Source organism: Homo sapiens, chromosome 2 (assembly GCF_000001405.40).
Source record: "Homo sapiens chromosome 2, GRCh38.p14 Primary Assembly".
Lineage (NCBI taxonomy): Eukaryota > Metazoa > Chordata > Mammalia > Primates > Hominidae > Homo > Homo sapiens.
The window spans coordinates 55,877,220-55,898,848 of record NC_000002.12 but is presented as its reverse complement, the minus strand read 5'-3'; the positions used below and the strand labels follow the sequence as shown (position 1 = coordinate 55,898,848).

The 21,629-nt window shown below is 37.3% G+C and overlaps 1 protein-coding gene and 1 long non-coding RNA gene across 5 annotated transcripts in view; one reads left to right on the top strand and one right to left on the bottom strand.

Annotated features, from left to right (window-relative positions):
- EFEMP1 (EGF containing fibulin extracellular matrix protein 1) overlaps positions 1 to 21,629 on the top strand; it is a 57,816-nt gene that overhangs the window by 24,934 nt on the left and 11,253 nt on the right. For 2 of the 4 annotated variants that reach the window (NM_001039349.3, NM_001039348.3), the window contains 2 exons: positions 17,115 to 17,237; positions 20,984 to 21,103. In NM_001039349.3, coding sequence (NP_001034438.1) covers positions 17,115 to 17,237; positions 20,984 to 21,103 — 243 coding nt within the window. The remainder of the gene's footprint in view (positions 1 to 17,114; positions 17,238 to 20,983; positions 21,104 to 21,629) is intronic. The other 2 variants (XM_017003586.3, XM_005264205.5) reach the window with 1 other exon arrangement.
- LOC112268416 (uncharacterized) overlaps positions 21,164 to 21,629 on the bottom strand; it is a 53,528-nt gene continuing 53,062 nt past the window's right edge. The window contains exon 4 of the long non-coding RNA XR_002959388.2: positions 21,164 to 21,232. This is a non-coding gene — a long non-coding RNA (uncharacterized LOC112268416). The remainder of the gene's footprint in view (positions 21,233 to 21,629) is intronic.

Genomic DNA, 21,629 nt, shown 5'->3' with positions numbered 1-21,629 from the left:
CCCAGTCCCAGTGTCACTGTTTGGGTTGAGGCAAGGCAGGTACTGTGGGTGCAGCAGGAAACAAGATCGGAAAATTCCATTGGAAGACAGTTGAGGTAGGACCCAGAATTCTTGGTTAAGCCATTTAGATTTATTACTGTCACAATTAGTGACAGATTTTGAGCGAAGAGTGACATAATGAAAACCCTATCTCCAGACAGGTGTAGGATGAGGAGGAAAAAAATACATTTACACATATGGTTAAATGTGTTAAATCATCTTAATGGGACTGAGGTGGGGAGCATTAGTGGTAAGGGCCTATGTCAGTCTGATTTATGGAAAAGGGAGTGAGTTTTTAAAGAAAGAATTGCATTAACTTTCAAGTACTGTACATAAAGTATGCTAGTAAGAGGCATAAAAAGAGAGTGTGCTACGTAAGGACTATTTTCTGGATCATAATAATTAGTTTAAAATTATTTATAATAGATAATTCATTATTTTGCCACAGAGCAGCTTCTGCTGTGTGAAACAGTGATTCTAAACAAGTTTGACTCTAAGTAGGGTGAACAGTTTGTTTCTAATATTATTGAGCAATATATTTATTCGTAGGTATTACAAAGATAAGCATCAATTACAAATTAACAAGATGGTGTAATTTCACCCCCCACACTTCATGAAATAACCAATTTGGAGTTAAATAGGCCCTTCAATGGTCTACTGAACAATCAGCCTCTCTGCCTCATGCTCACATTCATTAAACTGTAAAATGTTCGTTAATCGTAGTGTATGACTGAAGGAATATGGAGCAAGTCTCTAAATATAAACTATGTCTAAACAGTCTGTTAACAACAATTACTCTTATTTTAGCATGTTTAAGGCAGTCACCCTGCAAAATACGATGAATTCAACCTAAGCAGAGTCATTGTAACAAGGTTTTTGCAATATTGGAAATTATAGCAGGAGGCAATTATCCATAGGCCCATTCTACCCCACAACCCCCCTACCATCCATTCTGCAAATAAGCATGAACTAAAAAGTAATCTGGTTGTAGATAGAGGAAAGCAACAAGTTTTCCTGATACATCTAGGGGAAACATTTTCCAGTTAAAGGTTATTTTTATATAAAAATAAGAATTTAAAAGCGGTACAGAAAGAGGTTTGGGAGTAGGGGTGAGGCTGGACTGCCGAGCTAATAAAACAAGAATTTAAGAACATAAGAATAGATGGTTTAGTTTATGGATTAATCCAAAAGAATTTTAACTGGATTTCGATCTCACTTCACTAAGTCTTGACTTTTTTTCTTGGGAGACCCCACAGCTAGTTTGGAAAGGTAAAACACCTGGTTTATCCATTTATTGACCTATTTAAGTTTCCATTCTGAAACACTTCATTAATAATAGTCATACCTGTACTTTTCCTTCTCAATGGTGGGGGTCTGCTGGAGATGATGTGTTCATTATCTGGAATTTACTTTTTATTTTCTATCAGATTTAGGAAGAATAAGATCGGGGAAAAATTGATATTGCTTTGTTAGTTACAGCTGGGGAGATAGCACAAAACCCCAGACTAGGTATCCTGTAGCTGGATCCCTAAACATCATTTCAAAGTGTGAGACTATTCAACAAGCCTGAATTAAGTAACTAGTAAATGCAAAGCATAGTGGGTGCTGAGAATACAAAGATAAAAGCTTATGGGGCCTACCCTCAAAGAGTTCTCAGTCTCTGAGGAAGCAGACAGTAATTACAGTGTGACATTTTAAGTCCCATTTTAGTGACTTCCTAGAGAAGGTGACACCAGGCCTCCGTCTTGGCAAGTTGTGGCATTTAGACTTTAGAGAAGTAGGGAAAGGAGAAAGAATGTTCCAGGCAGAGGGAGCAGCATTTGCTAAGGTCATGAGAAGATGGGAAAAGGGAAGAGCAAGTTGTTCTGCATAACTTCAGTGTGCAGTACATGAAGATAGACAAGAGTCAAATCATGAAGGGCCTTGCCAGTCATGTTTTAAAGTTTGGGTTTCATCCTGAAGGTGGTAAGGAGTGATGTAATCAGCTTCCATTTATACAAAATGAAAGATGCCCTGTATCAGTCTGAAACTTGTGTATGCAAATCCACATGAAATGTGCCCTCTTTGCTCACAAAGGAATTAAATGCATCATTTACTTTTAAAATTTATTTCTGAGTTCTCATTTGTTAACCTGTCTGGATAATTTTATTGTAACTAATTACAACTGGTTTTATTCTCTATTTATAATAGTTCTACAGGGGCAAATTAAATATAGATTTCATTCAAGAAATAACACAGGTCTGTCTGTATGCTTAAATTTTTATCAAACATAAGGAGTAGGGAAAATATTTTAGCTCAAGGAAAAGCTACAGAAGTCAAACTAGCCTTAAAAATTGAATCAACAGGTAATGCATCGTTTCAGGCCATTTCTAGTTTTTCTCCACATAGAATATAACTGCAACTCTTAAAGGATTTTTACTGTTTGAGGTTTGCTCCATTTTAGAGTCTGTGCTACCACTTACTGGAACACTGGATTGAAAACAAAATTGTAATTCAGCCTTTGCAGAAGTTGCAAGGAAATTTTACACATTCACGTTTTTTGTCACAACATCTCCTAATCTTGTAAGACAAAGTGTTGTAATGATGATATAATTGTGTAAATACTATGGAAGCGTCAAATGTTATTTATCTGAACTGTTTTGCCAGTTTATAGTATAAACATGCTAGAATTTATACATCCAGCCTAATGGATATCTCAATTGCTACCTTCAACAAGTTGAGGCTATAAAATTATATAGGCCACTGATACGTGCCTGGGGTTATCCAGCTGTTAGTTTCCCAGTGGAGAATGCCAGACTTTGGTGGTCAGAGCAAAACTCGTTTAGGACCCTGAGCCAGCCAGACAAGGTGCTTCATCCTTAAGGGGGCTTTAATTAAGGATGAGGTGAGGAGCAGCCATTGCCCCAAGTCAGTAGAGTTTCCAGAGATAGTGAGTTTGCTGCAATTCTCTTTCTTAAAAAAGATAATTTGGCCGGGCGCGGTGGTTCACGCCTGTAATCCCGGCACTTTGGGAGGCCAAGGCGGGCGGATCACGAGGTCAGGAGATAGAGACAATCCTGGCTAACACAGTGAAACCCCGTCTCTACTAAAAATACAAAAAATTAGCCGGGCGAGGTGGCGGGCGCCTGTAGTCCCAGCTACTCCGGAGGCTGAGGCAGGAGAATGGCGTGAACCCCGGGGGCGGAGCCTGCAGTGAGCCGAGATCGCGCCACTGCACTCCAGCCTGGGCGACAGCGAGACTCCGTCTCAAAAAAAAAAAAAAAAAGATAATTTGTGGACACAGCTGTCCTAAAGGTCACCTGAACAAGCTACTTTCTGTGGTGACCTGGAGTTGAGCTGGACCCCCAAGGGGAGTCTTTACTGGTAAGATAGGGAATTTAGAGGGAGGCTTACGGACAAAGGCAGACAAGTGGCAAGAATGTGTTGCACGTGGCAGTAGGTGGCCAGGCTGATGCAGAGGGCCATGTAAGATGGCACTGATGAGATGGAGCCCAAGGAAAAGACAATTTTATGTATGGAACCATCTGTTATGTGGCAGTGAAGATTCAGACCAATCATACAGGACCATCTGCATTTTGTTAACACCTGTGTGCACAGTCACAGGCAGGTCTTGGAGCCCTGGGAGCCTGGCAGCAGCCCAGCATCACTAGAAAGGTGAAGATGGCAGGGACAGCCCTGCCAATCCTGCAAGGAGTGCACTAGAGAGCCTCAGCACTGGGCCAGGGAAGCTGCCCAAGAAGCAGTGTCCAGGGCCCACAGACCAATAGAAGGCAGTCCTCACACCATTTCAGAGGTGGCAGCAGTCAGAGTTCTCAAGTTGGAAGAATGGTCTCAGGGGCAAATGCAAAATTCAGTATTTAAGTAGGAAGGGGTCAGAAATGTAGGATGATGATTGATAGGCTAGGATGACAACAGAGAAGGAGTCAGCCTAGCCACGTGATTCATCACCCTATTACCATAAGCATGGTGCTTTTCCTTGGGCCTTAAGTTCTTTCATTTTTCCTATTTGTTAATACTCTCTCTTACAAGAGTAACAAGAAACAGTCACGTATGTACATATCATTTACCTTCAGCTATAATGAAGGCATTTGAAGAAGGTCATTTTGTATTCAAAGAAACTATAATTAACTTTCCAAAAGAATACTTTTCTAATATGCCATGGTTTTACTATATTACTAGCACAACATTTAAAAAAACAAATATTGGCCCAAAATTAAACTCTCCTATCTGATATGACTGAATGAATGTTTCATTAAATACAAGTGGTGTAGATCACCATGCTGCTTAGTGAAGACTCTGCCAACCTGCTTATTTGAAAAGTCAGGCATACAACATTTTCATCTTAAAGTCTAACTCTAAGCTTTGTTATTAAGAACAAATGACCAGAAATCCTTGTCCTGGCTTTATATGCATTTAACTCTATGACATTTGAAAATATTCCCTGTTTTTTCATAGTTCTGATCGATAATTTTATTACTGTCTTGAAAGATGGTGACCACAATGTCCTTAACATTCTCAAAAAAATAAATAAATAAAAGTTGCTGCTGAAATTTACATTTTTCATATCTTTTTCATAGCTAGAACTTGTTCACACAATAGTTCTCTCTCAGAATTACATGTAGGTTCTAATTAGAGCTCTAGTTAATGTTATGTGTGCTAGGTAGTCTTTATAAATATTAATACTTCATTGCCATGAAGCGATTCTGTAGCCATCAACAGTCCTTTCCTCTGATAGGACTGATTTTATGGAATCAAATATTATGAAATGCAGAAGATACTAGATTTGTTTTGTTTTGACAGATTTTGTTTTGTTTGAATGTTTTCAATTTTCCTAATGAGAAATAACTTTTAGCAAGAAAGGCTGTGTTTGCCTGTTCTTGTATCCATTCATCTGGAATATGCCAAAGGAGGGGAAGGTCATACCATAGATGCTCCTGTTGATTGGGTGTTAGTCATAAAGACCATATTGAAAACATGACACTAAGCAACAAAACAAAGGTAGGATATTTAATAATGTGAAAGTATATAGAAAATTACATTAAAAACCCCAACTTCCTGCAGTGTTCTTGCTTCCTTCCATCTGTATATAGCTGAAGTACCACCCTGATCCCACTACCAATTTAAGTCTTCACACTGTTAAGTATAATTTATTGAGCACTTACTGTGGACCAGGTACCTCCATTTTGAGTGTGTATTGTTTTAATTGTCCTCACAGTATCATTTTGAACTGAACATTCCCCGACTTCATAGATGTGGCAGTGAGATTTGGAAGAGTAGAAAAGTCAAATAACTTTCCCAGGACACATAACTAAAACGTGATGTTGCTTGGATTTGAACTGAGACCTATTTGACTCTAAAACCTGTGATCTTACCCACCCTTCTGTCTCAAGCATATTTCTGTCAGTGAGTTGTTTAAGAGAAAGAGTTATTCTGTGATTCTCAGACTTTCTAAAAAGATCAACAAGTCCTCCCCTGAACTCCTAATTCTTGGTATAATAAATTATATATAAACATTAATTCTTGGTATAATAAGGCTAGTAAAAAAAAGCTAGCATAAGCAACTACAGAAAGATACAATCTCAAATAAAATAACTTAGAACTTAAAAATACTAGCTGTTAGAGAATAGTATGATTCCTCTAATTCTGAAACTCATGAAAAGAGATTCGTAATTGAAGGTCACTGACAGGGTACCCCCTTACACCTATCTGGCAGCCTCACAGTCATCCACATTAACCACATATGTGCCTGAAGCCAAAGGTTTTCACTTAAAAGTTTCTATAAACAAATTATTACATTTCTAGGGGAAAAAATAATCCTAGGCTAATTTTAAAATTAACAATCTGAATTGCTCAATTTTTCCATTTTCTTTCAAAATGAAAACTTGGAATATGATAGACTCCGTGGATGTGCTCCATACAGTAACCATTTTAAGTATATATAACAGATCTAAGAACGTAGAGTTTGGTTTTTTTCATCCGTTTATTCATGCCAAGAAATTCTCTTTAAGATTGACTTAGTTTGGCATCAACCTTTAACACATCAACTGCATAACTGGCTTGGGTCTACCTGCCTTTGTACTCTGCAGACACACAAACCATGTATAGGGCATGTTTCTCCACCAGATTTTCTTTTTCAGAATTTGCACTGCCAAACAGACATTAAGCTACTCTAAATTCTTGACAAGTATGTAACTTTATAGGAACACAGTAGTGTATTTAAACATTGAAGAGAACTTTCTATTCATCCCACTCTTCTAACAGAGCCATTTAATCCTATCCAGAAAGATGAGTCCATTTTCAGACTCTCCTTTGATCCTACAGATTAGAGGGACAGAGAAGTCACCACTGAAAATTGAAAAAGGACGCAAGAAGAAATGGAGATCCATGACCATGGCCCCAAGAAAGCAAAAGCATGTTACTCAGGTTTCCCAAGATCCAAGTTAGAGAGGGGAGAAGAGATTAGAGCTAGAAAACAAATACTTTTAAAAACAGCATTTTGGAATTTATCAAAGTAGGCTTTAATGTCAGATTCATAAAAATGAAACAGATCTCAGAGAATGTATTTTCTGAGAAACTTATTTCTGTCCCCAATGGAAATGTAAAGTAAAATGCCCCAGACTCATTTTAAAGTCCAAAGACTATTTTATATGCTAGCTTTGAGAAGCCTTTAGAATTGCAACACTCACAGGGTCAGAAGTTTTTTTGAACAGATTTTCTTTTGTCCCTTATGGCCTTTAGGCACTCCTTGAGCTAATATTCAGGAGTTATTTGAATGCTGTTGCTTCACAACACTGAAAGTGTTTTAACATAGAGGGAGGAAAATCCCACAGCCTATGTCATCATAATTTATCAACAAATTAAGTCCAAGAATGCATGATAATTTATGGATAACTTGGAGGAAATGGTAACTATGGTATCAATTTGGAACAAAACCAGGAAGTCAGATCTCACTTGATTTAATGTTATCTGAAGGATTTGGGCACAAGTTTAACATTTTGATCACGGAATAATCTTATGCCTTAACATGATGAAGACTGAGTCTTCCTTCCTGAAAAATCCTTAATACAGGACAAGAAATAATGAGTCTAAAATTTCGTAACTGTTTTCCTGCTCAAGGAAGAGAGAAGGAATAAATAACCACTTACAATGAAACCTTTTCTTGCTACACTTCATCATGAGGCAAGTATTTCAGATGTTGGGAGATAGATTGTAAAGGTATAAAAGTTAACTTCACAGCTATACAAAGCTATACGTATGTGCACCATGTGTCAAATGAGAGAAAGTATAGATATTCAATGTTGTTGAATCCTCACAATTTTCTATATTAGAGTGGATGCAGCATCTGTTTTTCAATTTTTAATCATCAACATTGTCAAGCTTAGAGAAAAGTTGACTGTACAGTACAATTAACAAGGAACACCCACCGTTCAGATTCAAAAATTATTAAAACTCTGTCATATTTGCATGTAGCATGTTAACACTGTTTTTAAACACAGATGACTAGTCAAATCCCCCACCTCCTGCTGGGATCCACATTGAATCGTTTGTGTATTTCCAGTGATAGGAAACTCATTATCTCCTAATACATCAAAACAAATAATAACCACATTTTCTCTTACACTGAGCGAAAATCTGCCTTTCTTGCATTTCTAGCCATTTATTCTATTTCTGCTTTTTGGAAATACATGGTCAAGATCTTTTCCTCTTCCCAGGGAGAAGAGCAGAAAAAATAACTATTGAGTACTAGGGTTAGCACCTGACTGACAAAATAATCTGTACAACAACCCCCAGTGACACAAATTTACCTATATAACAAACCTGCACATGTACCCCCAAACCTAAAATAAAAGTTAAAATAAAAAGATCTTTTCCTCCTTCCCTAAGCTCCCTTTCATAACCCTGAAGATGATCTCAGATATAGATCTCATCTATGTTTTCTTCTCTTGTAAATTGAGTACAAAGAAAAAGATAAGGATGATATGAGGAGGTAGGGTAGGGCTATGGGCCTTCTTATGGGCTGGCATTTTTTTCCATAAATTTTGATCTGTAATATTTTCATTTTCATTCAGTTTGAGATTTCTCAAATTTCAATTTAGCTATCTTTAAACCATGGGTTGTTGTGAAGTATGTCTAATTTTCCAAAAGAAGGGCTTTTTCTAGTTTTGTTGTTGTTGTTGTTTCTATCTTATTTGCATTGTAGTTGGAGAACATAATCTGTATATTGCAAATTTTTGAAATTTATTTAGACTTACTTTAATGCCAGCATATAGCCATTTTCTTTTAATGTTCCCTCAGTATTTAAAAAGGCTATGTATTCTGTACTGTGCTCTATACATGTCAATTAGTTCAAAGGTTTTAATCACATTTTCTATTCATTTCTGAAAACATGTATTTATTCTTTCAATTACCAGGAGAAGTGTGTTAAAATCTTACTGTAACTGTGCTTGTCAATTTTTCCTTTTAGTTTCATTCATTTTTTTATTTGTCTATACTGAGCCTATATGATTAAGTGCATTTAAATTTAGAATTTCTACATATTCCTGGTAAACTGAAACTTTTATCATTATGTAGTATTTTTTTAATTCTCTAATAATCTTTTTTTTCCATAAAGTCAACCTCTTCTAATACTAATATTGCATAGCCAACTTTGTTTTGGTTAGTGTTTGCATAAATATTTTCCATCTTTTTTATTTTAATCTCTGTGTCCTTGTATTTAAATTATGTCTCTTGAAACAGTATATTTGGGTTTTGTTTTTTAATCAATTTGACAATTTTTGGTTTTTAGTGAGTGCATTTAGTCCATTTACATTTACTATAACCACTGATATGTTTAGGTTTAAAACTACCTACCATTCTATTTGCTTTTCATTTGTCCTGCACATTTTAGTTTCCTTTTGTTTTCTTACCTTCTTCCTAAATTGATGGAGTATTTTGTATTATTCTATTTTCCCCTCTATTAGCTTTGTAGTTTTATTTTTTTTTTTTACCATTCCTTTATTGTTTTTCCTACAGATCATTTGAACATGCATCCATGACTTATCAAAATTTAAGATCAATTAGTACTTTTAACTCTTCCTGCGTGATTCAAGGACCTTAAAATATTTAAACTCTATTCCTCTTCCTGCCAAACTATATATGCTATTATTCTCATGTATTTTAATTCTAAATATTTTATAAATCCCAAAATACTTTACTATTATTGTTTTAGGCAGTCAGTACTTATTTAGATTTATCCACATCTTTATTCTTTTTATTGTGCTGGAATTTTGAATCAAAAAGAGAACAGAAAAAAGAATTTAGTGCAAATAAGGGCCCTGAGGCATATGGAGAAACATTGCGCAGAAAGATCATAAGTAAGATATAATGAAATGGGCAGGAAAATACACACAAGAAAGTAACATTCTCTGAAGGCAAGAGGCACAAAGGTATTCTTTATTGAAAAAGCTTTAGGCAGTTAATGAGTTGGAGAAGTATTGCCAAGTTACACTCACCAAATTTAGTAGTATGCCTCAATTTAGTGGGCACAAAAGCTGCTTATTGTTGAATGAACAACAAGCATAATGTAATTGGTTTCATACAATTAGGAGGTCAGCAAGCCATGCTTGTTATAATTGGCACTGCCATAGTCAGGGGCTTATGCGACCTCAAGTGATGATTTGCCTGAAGGAATAAGCCAGGAATGTGTGTGCTTTGGGCTCCAGAGACTTGACTAATCTGGCTGCAAGGCCTCAGGGAGGGAGGCCAAGAATCAAATCACAGTGCTCAGGCAGGGCTTGGTAGACTCAGTTGAATGTAGTCAGTCTCCATTCAGTTCATCACTCACCAGTGTTTGAGCCGGAGCCGGGGAAGTGGGAGATAGAGGAGAGGAGAGATCAAGTGGCCGGGAACCAGGAAAACACAATTGAAATGTCAGTGCAGAGGCATCCCATAATAGGGCGGGATCTTAATTCCTCCCAAGGCCATCCACTTTGAAGCAGGTCTCCAGCCTGTGTGGCATGGGCTTAAACCTTCACACAAAGGGTCTTTAATTTCTAGTACTGAGCCACTCTGGAGCAAAGACTGATGTTGCTGTTTGTTTCAAAATACAGGTTTACCTCCACAAGGTAGCAGACTGATGAATGGTTGTTAATATCCCAAATATCAGGGTTTTCTTTTCCCAAACATTTTCTAAATTAATAATTAAGTTTAAGAAGGCCTGTAATCCCAGCACTTTGGGAGGCCAAGGTGGGTGAATCACAAGGTCAGGCGTTTGAGACCAGCCTGGCCAACATAGTGAAACCCTGCCTCTACTAAAAATACAAAAAATTAGCCAGGCATGGTGGTGGGCGCCTGTAATCCCAGCTACTCAGGAGGCTGAGTCAGGAGAATCGCTGGAATCTGGGAGGTGGAGGTTTCAGTGAGCCAAGATTGCACCACTAAATGCTAGCCCAGGCAACAGTGCAAGACTCCATCTCAAAAAAAAAAAAAAAAAAAAAGTTTAAGAAGGAAAAAAAAAGAGTTTAGCTGGGTATGACATACTCACAAAGATGCCAGAAAATACTCCTAACAATTAACAATCATTTAACAGTAGACAATGTTGTTTCCTTGAGATTCTGAAAGCATAAGCTTCATGTTGCCAGTGGGCAAAAACAGCTGAAGAATGAGAAGTAAAGCCTTTGTTTCTTTGCTCTTCCTCTGTTTCAGCCTATGACCCATTGGTTCATCTGGTTTATGTGTAGTACAGATGAGTCACAGATTGGTCGTTCACATGCATTAGTTGGTTTTCTTCCCCATGTTCATGAACTGTATGCCTAACCTCATCCAATCATCTGGCAAATGAACACTGTTGTCCACAGAGGAAGCTACGTGAGGGGGGTCCATTTGCAATGCAAATCCGTCATCATTGCTAGAAAAGCAATTCGAAGTAGCATGATTTTTTTCCTATGAGAACAGCATATTGTAAAGTTCTGATAGAACACAATGCAATGCCAAGGGCTTCTAGGACACTTGATTTCGCCACTCTCTAAAACAAAGAAATGAACTATCAGGGAGGCTGATAATTTGTTGATTTTGGTGATATTTTTGTTTATCATTTAAAGCACACCAAATTATTAACAATCTGTTTTGCCAGAACTGATAAGAATCTAGAACTATAAATCTACTGCTGGCCATCGATTAAGACAGTTCTCTCTTGTTACTTAATATTAGTATTTATTTTCTCCACTAGAACTGCTTAGCTTGAGTGAATTCTAGCTGATAATTTCAGAAGGGTGAAAAGCTAACTAGAACTGGGCATTTGGCCCAGATAAATCTGATTCCAGTACTATGAAAGAAACAGCAAGGGAACTAGAAAGTCTTTGACAAAAAAATGTTGATAATTGGCTAAAAACTGGGGAGGGAAACAGAAAACTTGGAGAGCTATGAATGTTATTCTAAGTAGAAGAAAGACGCAAGGGAGGAATCAAGGTGCTGTGACATTAACAACCCTATCTTTAAGGCTAAAAAAAATTAAAAACACCTATAAATTCACTTAAAACTACTCTCCAGAACTCATAGGAAATAAGTCTTCCTCAGGACCTAAATTGCAGAAACAAAATGGAAATCTGGTGTTTGAATCTCTGCTCTGTGTGACCCTGGGCAAGTTCCCTCAACTGAGTCTACATTTCAGTGACATCCTTTTTTTTCTTCATCTGTAAACTGTGGATGAAGTAACTACCTCTTCCACAGGGCTATTAGGATTAAATAAGAAGCTTTGTAATTCTGCCTTCCCAATCAAATAATAGATCTTTTTATATTGCTAAGAATTTACCTATTTTTATACCAATTAATTTTAGAATGTTACCAAGTTTGTATATGAATCTGTATAAAATATTATATACTTTTTTCTAAATCAGATTTCAATCTACATAATTTATTATATTAATTACTCAGGTTATCATTATCAATAGCAAATACTGGATGAGTAAAACAGTAGTAAACTTCAGTGCCCTCAGGTCTTGCTGAAGTAATTCTTACCTTCCAGGATTATATTGAAAAACAAAATACTCCAAATACCTCTAAGACCTTCACTCAGTGAGTCCCTTTTATTTAAAAAGTTTCAGAGAGTAAGTAAAAAGAGTACTTTGGTAGGAACTAGTTTATCACCCTGTCTCTAGAAAGGATTGGGAGCAATCATTTTGAGCAGGTGGGTATCTAAATCATTAAGAATGTTGGGAGGAAGGAGGCCAATGGTAAAGAAGCTCTTCCTTCTAACAAACATGAATCCTTTACCTTGACCATTTTTCTACTTTACTCCATTTATGAGATTAAATCAGTTTGATTGAGGAAGCTAGGTATAATAAGGTTTTAAATCCACACAGATCAAGAAGTATCACCAACTTGAATTTAACCACTATCTTTTCTTTAACCACAAGAGTTCACAGGATAGCACCATTAAATAATATTTGCAAAGCATGCACAGTGCCCCACACAGAACTAGTAAAGATACGGTTATTTTACTCCAGGGGTTTACAGTCTGGAAACAAAAAAAGTATATTGTGAAGAATCTGAATACTTTTAAAAATCTGTGTGTTATTGTTGAGGATAGACTCTCTATTTCAGAGATGGAGAAACAAAGAGAAAAAATTGATACCATGACCCTAGATCACACAGGGAGTGACAGATTCAAAATAATTTCAGTCTTCTTTGTCCTATTACTAGTGCATTCTCATCACTAGTCTACAGTGGCTTATTCAAAAGTAGTTCTAAATTATTTCTTAAACCAAAAGCAGCACAAATTATAAAAGTCTAAATGGTACTCAACACCATTCAAGGTGCAGATAATTTTTGCCCATGAAAACATGCTAAAGGGACTCCATGTTGTGGTAAGTTATCAAATTATGGAAAGAACATTGCAGAGATTAAAATGTTGCATAAGAGAGAGAAAGCAGCATGAGTCAGGGGTTTGGGAAATATGAGTCAGACTGAAGGGAAGGAGCCAAAAACATAGAGAATGAGGGCCTAAGCAGGGACTTAATGGACACCACAGAGATGTGGACAAAGTTGTCTCCATTAACTTTGAGAGAAAATCAAATGTGCGGTTCCCTAGACGTGGGGGTCGGTGTGATAAAGAGGCTAGAAGAGCTGAGCAAAGATTAGCCTGTGTTATTTAAAGCAACTAACGGTGCCAAAGTCAGCAAGAGAGGGACCTACAATAGTATAAATCACTAGGAGGGAGCACGTGGGCACATTTTTGAAAAATGAGGGAATCACCAAATATTGCCATTAGCTATTGTTAATGTATTAGAATGACGAAATGTGTTATGGTATTTTAGGAAGCACAATCTATTATTTTGTTCTTTGGTAATGTTAACATTAGGCTCTGTCTACATAGTTCAGAGAGACTCCTTATGTTGTTCAATCCAGACTCTCTAATCCTGCCTTTAAGGCCTTGAATTTTGTTCACGACAGATCTAGCATTTCATGATCCTCTTCAACCAGGCACTGCACCAGGCTCCTCACACAGAGCCCCGGCAGCTGTGCTGACGCCATCTGTCTGCCATTCTTCTCATGGAAACCAGTTTTGTCTTATCAGCATTTTCTAATGTGAGCTGCTTTCTGCCTAGAAACAGCTTCCTTTTCCTGGCAACCCATGTATCTCGTCTTCTTCAAAATGCAGTGGAGAACCCACCTCTTCTGGCGAATCTGCTTTATACCTCATAGCCTCTGCACTCCTGGACTCACTTGCTCAACATCATTTTTCTTTTACTAACATCTTACTGATTTTGCTGTGTTTCTCAGATATACCTTGTTACTCTGCTTCATACATTTTTAGCTCCATTAGGTAAAACACTGATCCTACTTTTCCTGAAACTTTAGGTACCAATTCTCAGCAAATGGTAATAACTCATTTATCCATTTATTGCACAAATATTTATTGAAAATCCACCATGTTTCATGCACTATCCTAGGCACTGGGAATACAGGGGGGAAAATAAGACATAGATCCCCCATCCCCACCCAAAGAGCTTGGGTCCAGGTCCCAGGAAATTTATTAACTGACTGCCTGAAAAACCAAGTGAGCTTAACTGTCAAGGATAAATTATAATCATGCAAAAACAACAAAAAATTTCTCCCCATAGTAATTTGTCCTAGATTATCAGGAAAATCATGGCTGACCTGAGTAGTTTCCCTTATAAATAAAGCATTGCTTTTGCTAATGCAGATATTCTCCCATACAAATGTAGGAAACAGATTTTTCTTACACACCATGGAGATACCTACAAAAGGCTGTGTTTGCACTATGGGAAGTCAGGAGCAAGTAGAGGGCAGTGGACTGTCATCAACACTCCTGGGAGAGCCACCTTTTCCAGAGCATCTGCACAGGGATGGGTATTCTGCTTTGAGTTTCTGACATCATTGTCCATTTTAGTAAATTTTGTATCATAGTGAGCTTTCTGGTATTTATGACAAATGGAAATGCATAGAAGTAGAAAAGCCAAACATAACGGAATTTAACAATGTATAATAATTTTATATGACTTTGCATAGATGTGTAAATAAGTAATTCCAGGATCTCAAAGTATAATTTTCAAAATAATATTGTGTTATTTAAATAAACTAATAAATTGACATTAACGTAATTGAAAATAGGTCAAAGAAATTCAGTCTGTTTATAGCCTTTAGCATTAGATAAACCACCAACAGCAAAGGAGAGGATAAATATTCTAAACCACAGCCAGAGAAGCCATAAATGGAAATGTAGTTAGTAGCTGCCTCCTGGTCACAGAGGTCACTTTTTTGACAATTTTATGAGTCCCAGTAAGTAAAATGTGTAATCACCAGTCAGTCCTAGGTGAGGCAAGTCTTGTTGCAGCTTTGTTTGGGTGTTGGTGGAGAAAGGGAAGGAAAGTAGTGGCAGTGAGCACAGTGGTATTTGTTTTTTGTTGTTGTTTGTTTTTATTAATTTAACTCACCTAATATTTTTATTAAATAACCCACTCAGAAGGTAAACAGACCTCATTCTTAAGAAGGAGTAGCACAGGTTTTTGTGTTTAAAATCTACTTAATGATACATTAATTCCACTGGAAATGTTAGCCTATTTATCAGACACTAAGAAATGAGCAACAAGAAAGTAGGAAGGAAGTCATAGGGCATCAGTTGTAGGAATGCAGCGGGGTGGAGGCAGTTTGCAGATAGATGTCAAAAAGAAAAGCCTCAGTCACTGCTGAGGCCTCCCTTAGAAAATGCAGCAGCCAGCCCAGGGCCTTGATCTGCTGCCAGAGGAAACTTGCCACATCTGAATCTAACATTGCCGTATCTCTCAGGACTGTTATCACTGCAAATGCTGGCAAATGTTCTTGACATAAAACAATAGATACTCTGCTGTCATTTCTGCATTAACGAGTCATAAAGCTCTGAAGAAACCCCAGTAAAAAGGTTTTCATCAAGTGCATCTGAGAAAATAATAAAAGACACAAAAAACAGCAGATAATTTCAAAGCAGGATTGTTGCACCATCGCATAGTACCTAAAAAGGACAGTTTGTAATCACTGACTTGAAAATAATACTAGTAGTAATTATAATAAATTTCAAAACAAAACAAAATAACAAAAACCTTAGCCAAAACTTTAAAACCAAGTTCAAAGAATTACGTAAGTGGATGCTTTATAGATTATTATCCAATAAATAGCCATACATCACTCAAGTATTTTTCATCTCCCCTCCCTCTTTCTTATCGAAAGAATCTCTCTTATCATTTCCACACCCAGCTAAGTGAAGCTGATTTCTGAGGACAACCCTTTTACAATCTCAACTTCATATATTATTATACTGCATAGTGTAAATGCGCAGTCCTCCTTGAAAATACAGAAAAGTGAAAGGCAAACCAACCTCAGGGTCTACTCTCAGAGATTCTTAGAGGGAAGACAGAAATTGGGTGAATTTTTTATTATTGATTCTTTCCCTACTTTTTCTTCCAACATACTACCATGAGTCTGCCACAGTGATGATCTAAGACCTCTGAAATCTGCCTCAGGGGTCTTAAATCATCACTGTGGTAGACCCAGGGTAGTATTTTGGTTTTTATACAAAAATTGTCATCTAGGAATCACAAGTTTTATGATATTGTTAATGAAGCTTAGAGTGGTTGTTGAAGAATGATGAAATTATATGATCCTTTTTTGTGTACTACTTAACTTCATGATATAGGAGAGCCGAATGAATATAAAAGTGATACAGATAAGGCAAAATTAGATTTTACTTATAAATTACTGTAAATATGAATGTACACACACAAATTTATATCACCTTTTGATCTGAAAGAAATTTCTTATAACTAGTTCATTATGCTATCACTGAGCATTTTTTACTTTTCTAGAACTGTAACCTGCATACTCATTAAGGCACATTTAGTAAATTATTCCAAGAAGTACACTGCTTTGAGAAAATATGGATTTTTAAACTACACAGGCTAGAGGAATATGATCAAATTGAATCCTTTGCATTCTGAAATTTGCAATGAAAGATTTATACATACATGTTGCCCTGCTGTTTGCAAAAACAAACAGCTACAGGGAACGTATAATATTAAAGGTTGATTACACCCAGTTATTGGTTAGATTTTTAGAAATTTGTCAATGGAAATTATCTCAAATACAATATATTGGATGGAAAAGCAAGTATCATACAATCTATTAAAATTTTTAACATACAAAACAATACCATATGTTCTAATGGATGCATCCCTGTCTAACAAAAGTACAAAAACATCTCAGGGAAGGATTCATTCCTACCGAGACAGTGGTAGCTGATGGGTCAAGGGATGAGGATGGTGTGAGGCTTTAGCTGTATCTGAAATGTTTCTTAACAAAACAAAATGAGCCAAGACCAACATGACAAAATGTTAGCATTTGTTAAATCTGAGCAGTACTCACTGGTATTTGCAAAATTATTTTCTGAACACTTGAAATAATTTATAATTTTAAACATTTCCAATGCAAGAACATTATAAACTTTTAAGAATAAAGTAAAAATTTAGCTTAAGAAGTGGCAAAATGGAGGAAATATCAACATCTTCACAACTGACAATTCTTTCTGTGTTGCATGTCTCTGACAGACATAGACGAGTGCACTGCAGGGACGCACAACTGTAGAGCAGACCAAGTGTGCATCAATTTACGGGGATCCTTTGCATGTCAGTGCCCTCCTGGATATCAGAAGCGAGGGGAGCAGTGCGTAGGTAAGTACCACAGTGCAGTGAGCACGGTCCTGTCTTGAGTACCTTAACTGTTTCAACCTCAAGCATTCCAATCAAAGCATTCATGTTTCTTTGGAGAGTGGTAGCCAATAATTCCTTATTTTTTTATAGACTACCAATCCATTTTCCACAATAACAAGAAACAACCTTAAAGGTTGAGCTATTCTGGATAACAAAGTGTTGGTTAAATGTTAGACGAAGCAAGAGCAGAAATTTGGGGTATGAATGGGACAATAAAAACAACCACAAAAAAATTTAAATTTGCTGTTTTGGGGGCCATCGCGCTAACACACTGGTACTGTGGGCTTCATTCACCATTCACTGCTGCAGAGCATAGCATAGCACAGCACATAGAGCAAATGGTGGAGTTGCATTCCAAGCACCAACCCCAGCTCGCTTTGAGACCTTGAGCAAGTTACTTAAATCCTGTGTCTCACTATGTTCACTTGTACTGTGGAGATGATACTAGGCCCTACCTCCAGAGCTCATGTAGGGAATGCTTAGAATAGTGCCTGTCCCTGTGCAGTAAAGCTGTTTGCTATCGTTGTATTCTGAGTCAACAGATGGGTATTAAAGGCTCTTTATACTGCAAGCCTTTGTAGGGTACCATGAGTACAAAGCCAAGTTCAGCACGTGCCTCTGCTGGAGGGCCTAAGAGCGTGAGCTCCCTGACAGCAAGACCAGGTCATCTTGTGTCACTGTGGTCTCCCCAGTCCCTGAAGTGTGCCCACCATGTGATGGAGGCTCTATGCGTGTGTTTTGAGTGAATGGAAGATCAAAGTATGAGGAAGCCAACTGGCAGATAGTGAAGTAAAATACAGTACTCTGGGCTCAATCATGAGGCCCAGCACTAGGCATGAAACTCTGACTGTCCATTTATTTACATACCCCTTCTTACCACAGATCAGTGAAAAAGCCTTATTTCCTCTTAGGAACAGAGGGTGAGGATGTGGGGACAGACAACCAGCGTCAGTTTTCGCCTGAGAATGTGAGCTGTTGATGTTCACATGTCAACACTGAGTTCCATGTGGGCCCCAGCCCAGTTCTGTCTGCCATAGGGCTGTGCCTAGATGCTGGGGTTAGTGCCCAGCCTCTGAGGAAGGCCCAGGGTTTGCTATAAATGAAGCTGTGATTTAAAAGAAGAGTGTGTAGAAAACTCCAGAGATAACAAAGTTTGGCCATTGTATTAGACAGGAAAATAAATATTTGAGGGCATAAAAAGTACAGAAAAAAGAACTAATCCAACTTAGTGTGGGGTGAATCAAAGATAATGGAACATACGGTCACAGCCCTTTTAATGTGGTAGGAGGAAATATTCCTAAACTCAGATCTAATCATGTGTCTTCCCCTCCTGCTTCCCTCACTGAGAGAATCAAGTCTACATTCCTCGACAGAGCATGAAAGGTCTTGCTCAATCTGATCATTGTCCAGTTCTGTTGCATAAACACCTCTCCCCCACCACAAAATATTACACCCCAGCTTTATTCCACCAGTTCCCCACACACGTCACACAGTGTTACTTACACTTTGGTGCCTCTATACAAGCTCTTTACACAACAAAAACATTCCCTCCTGGCAAATTCTTATTTCACTGTCAAATCCTAGCTTAGGATCACTTCCTCTGGGAAGCCTGCTATGATTTACCCAAATATAATTAGTTGCTCCTCCCCTGTGCCAGTACTTCTCAAATTATGATGAAGGATACTTTTTTGTAAATTTCCAATCTACGGCAGACCAATACTTCTGTAAAGCACAATAAAAATAATGTTGCACTAATGTCAAATTGCTATTTCTAAACATGTACTCTCAGTTTCTGTATTTATTCATTGCAGACTGGTCCAAATAGCCCATGAACCAGCAGCAGTCAGCAGGCCACACTTCAAGTAGCATGGTGCTCCCTGTGTCCCATACACTCCTTTCTATTGTTGATCTTCTCATTCCATGGAATAATTTGTTTCATGCCTGTCTTTCATACCAGACAAGGCAGAACACATGTATACTGATTATCATTATAAACTTGGGGTGCCAAACACAGTACCAGCAAATAAGAATGGTTCAATGAATGTTTATTAGTTAAGAAGACATGCGTCACATATTCACCAAATAGTTATTGAGGGCTTACTGTGTAACAAGCATTGTTCTAGGAACTGGGATAATAGTAAACAAATTTTACAAATTCATAGCCCTCGTGGAGCTATTAGAAAGTATAATACCATTCATACAAATTAGCTATCAATACTAGCACCTGATGATAGTACTGAGGACTAGGAAGCACTATGCTAAAATTGCTCTTAATTAGTGTGAAGTTTCGATTTATTCGAATAATGTTTATTGAACACCTACTACTATGCCAGGCCCTATTCCAGATCTAACAATGAACAGACAAAAAACCCTCTACCTCCACCTCAAGGGGAGAATGTCATGCACTATAGTGAGGGAACACACAAGAAGCAAATAAACACATAACACAATGTCGAGTACTGTTAAGGACTACAAAGAAGTCTAAAGCAAGGTAAGGGAATAGATAGGGCAGAAGAACCTATTTGATATTGGTGGGAAAGGTGGCCACCCTGAGGAGGTGACATTTGAATGGACACCTGAACCAAAGTAAGGGGAAAAGCCATGTGAATATCTTCTTACTATTTATTTCAGTATTCAAGTTAAATCAAATATATCTTGCAGCTTATTAGCTCCCATTTATGTTTACTTGCTTTGTGCCAGTAACTTTGCCTACATTATGTCTTGTAACCCTCCCAATAATTCTACTCACAGAAGAGGAAATGCAAGCTCGAGAAGTTAAGACCAAGCTAGTAATTGCCAGAACAAAGATTCAGACTCAGGTTATCCTGAGGCCACTTGAGCACACTACTTAATTTTAGTTATTAAAGTACCAAAAGAGCCCAGCATAAAGGTTTGTTTTGTTTTGTTTTGTTTTACCACAAGGCAGTGTCACTATATAGCATTACATTGTATATGCATAATGGTTGTTTTAAATTACACATGCCATGTTGAAGTTGTCACAAAGTGTAGAATCATGAATTAATGAAATTTTATTATGCTTCTAAGATGTTAGTCCTACTTAGCAAGTTCTTAGTTGAGCATTTTATAGTTGAAAATATTTATATGAGAAGGACACAGGCTGGAACACTTCATCAAAGTGTCAAAAGAGCACTCTCAAGAGGTAACTTATTTAGCATCCAATTCTTCCACAGTGTTCTTTTATTTGATACACAAAAACGTCCTAAGATACACATGGCAAGCCTTGCTATCCACATCTTATAGAAGAAAAACCAAGATACTGAAGGCGTAAGTGACTTAGCCAAGGTCACCAGTTGAGCACAGCCCACAACTCTTTCTTCTTTGTTTTGTGCTGCACCATGCACTTCAGTAGTTCTTTTTTACTTCTGTAATTATATATAAGCTTTTAGCTCCCCAAACTGACATCTTATATATATATGCAATAGTCTCAATTATTTTGTTTTCTTTAAATCTCAATCCACCCACCAAGTTTATTTACCACTGAATGGCATGAACATTGAGTCTTTGTTCTTAACTTCTTAACTCAGAATACAAAGTATATTTAAAATACATATACCCTAATTTTAACAAAATAGGAAATTATTACTTTTAAAAAGAGATTTTCTCTACATAGGTTTTCTAGATAATGCTTTTCAGAGAATGCTAATTCAATAATTTGGTTCTCTTTGTGTGTGTGCCTGATAACCTAGACATAGATGAATGTACCATCCCTCCATATTGCCACCAAAGATGCGTGAATACACCAGGCTCATTTTATTGCCAGTGCAGTCCTGGGTTTCAATTGGCAGCAAACAACTATACCTGCGTAGGTAAGCCTTTTGAGAACTTGCTGATTTCTGTCTTCACAAAAGGAAACCCCATGCCATGTTGCAGTATTTCCAGTTTTCTATGTTCTTGAGTAAATAGTTTCCATCGACTTCCCTTCAGCAATCATAAAGCTTAAAAGATAATAACCAATCTGTGTCTTAAAACACATCAAGATGTGAACAGAAAACTTTTTAACTTTGGTTTTAGTTCTCCTCTGTGGATAGATCAACAAATTTAAAACTACAAATCAATTGATATACATACACCAGTCAATCAGCAGTGTGTGATATAATGCTGAAAGTGCCAAAGGGGTTACTACAAGTTCAAGTATATAAACTTTCCACTGAAAGTGCATCTGATTTTTACATGCCTCTTCTCCCCTTTCAGAATGCAATGTCACGGCACACAATTAAAAGATTGGCATGACATGGAAAAAATCTAGTGTAGGAAAAATGCCTTTTCACAATATTTTCAGTGCTTTAGAGCATTGCAAAACTCCGTATGGGTCTCAAAGGCTTATGTTATAAT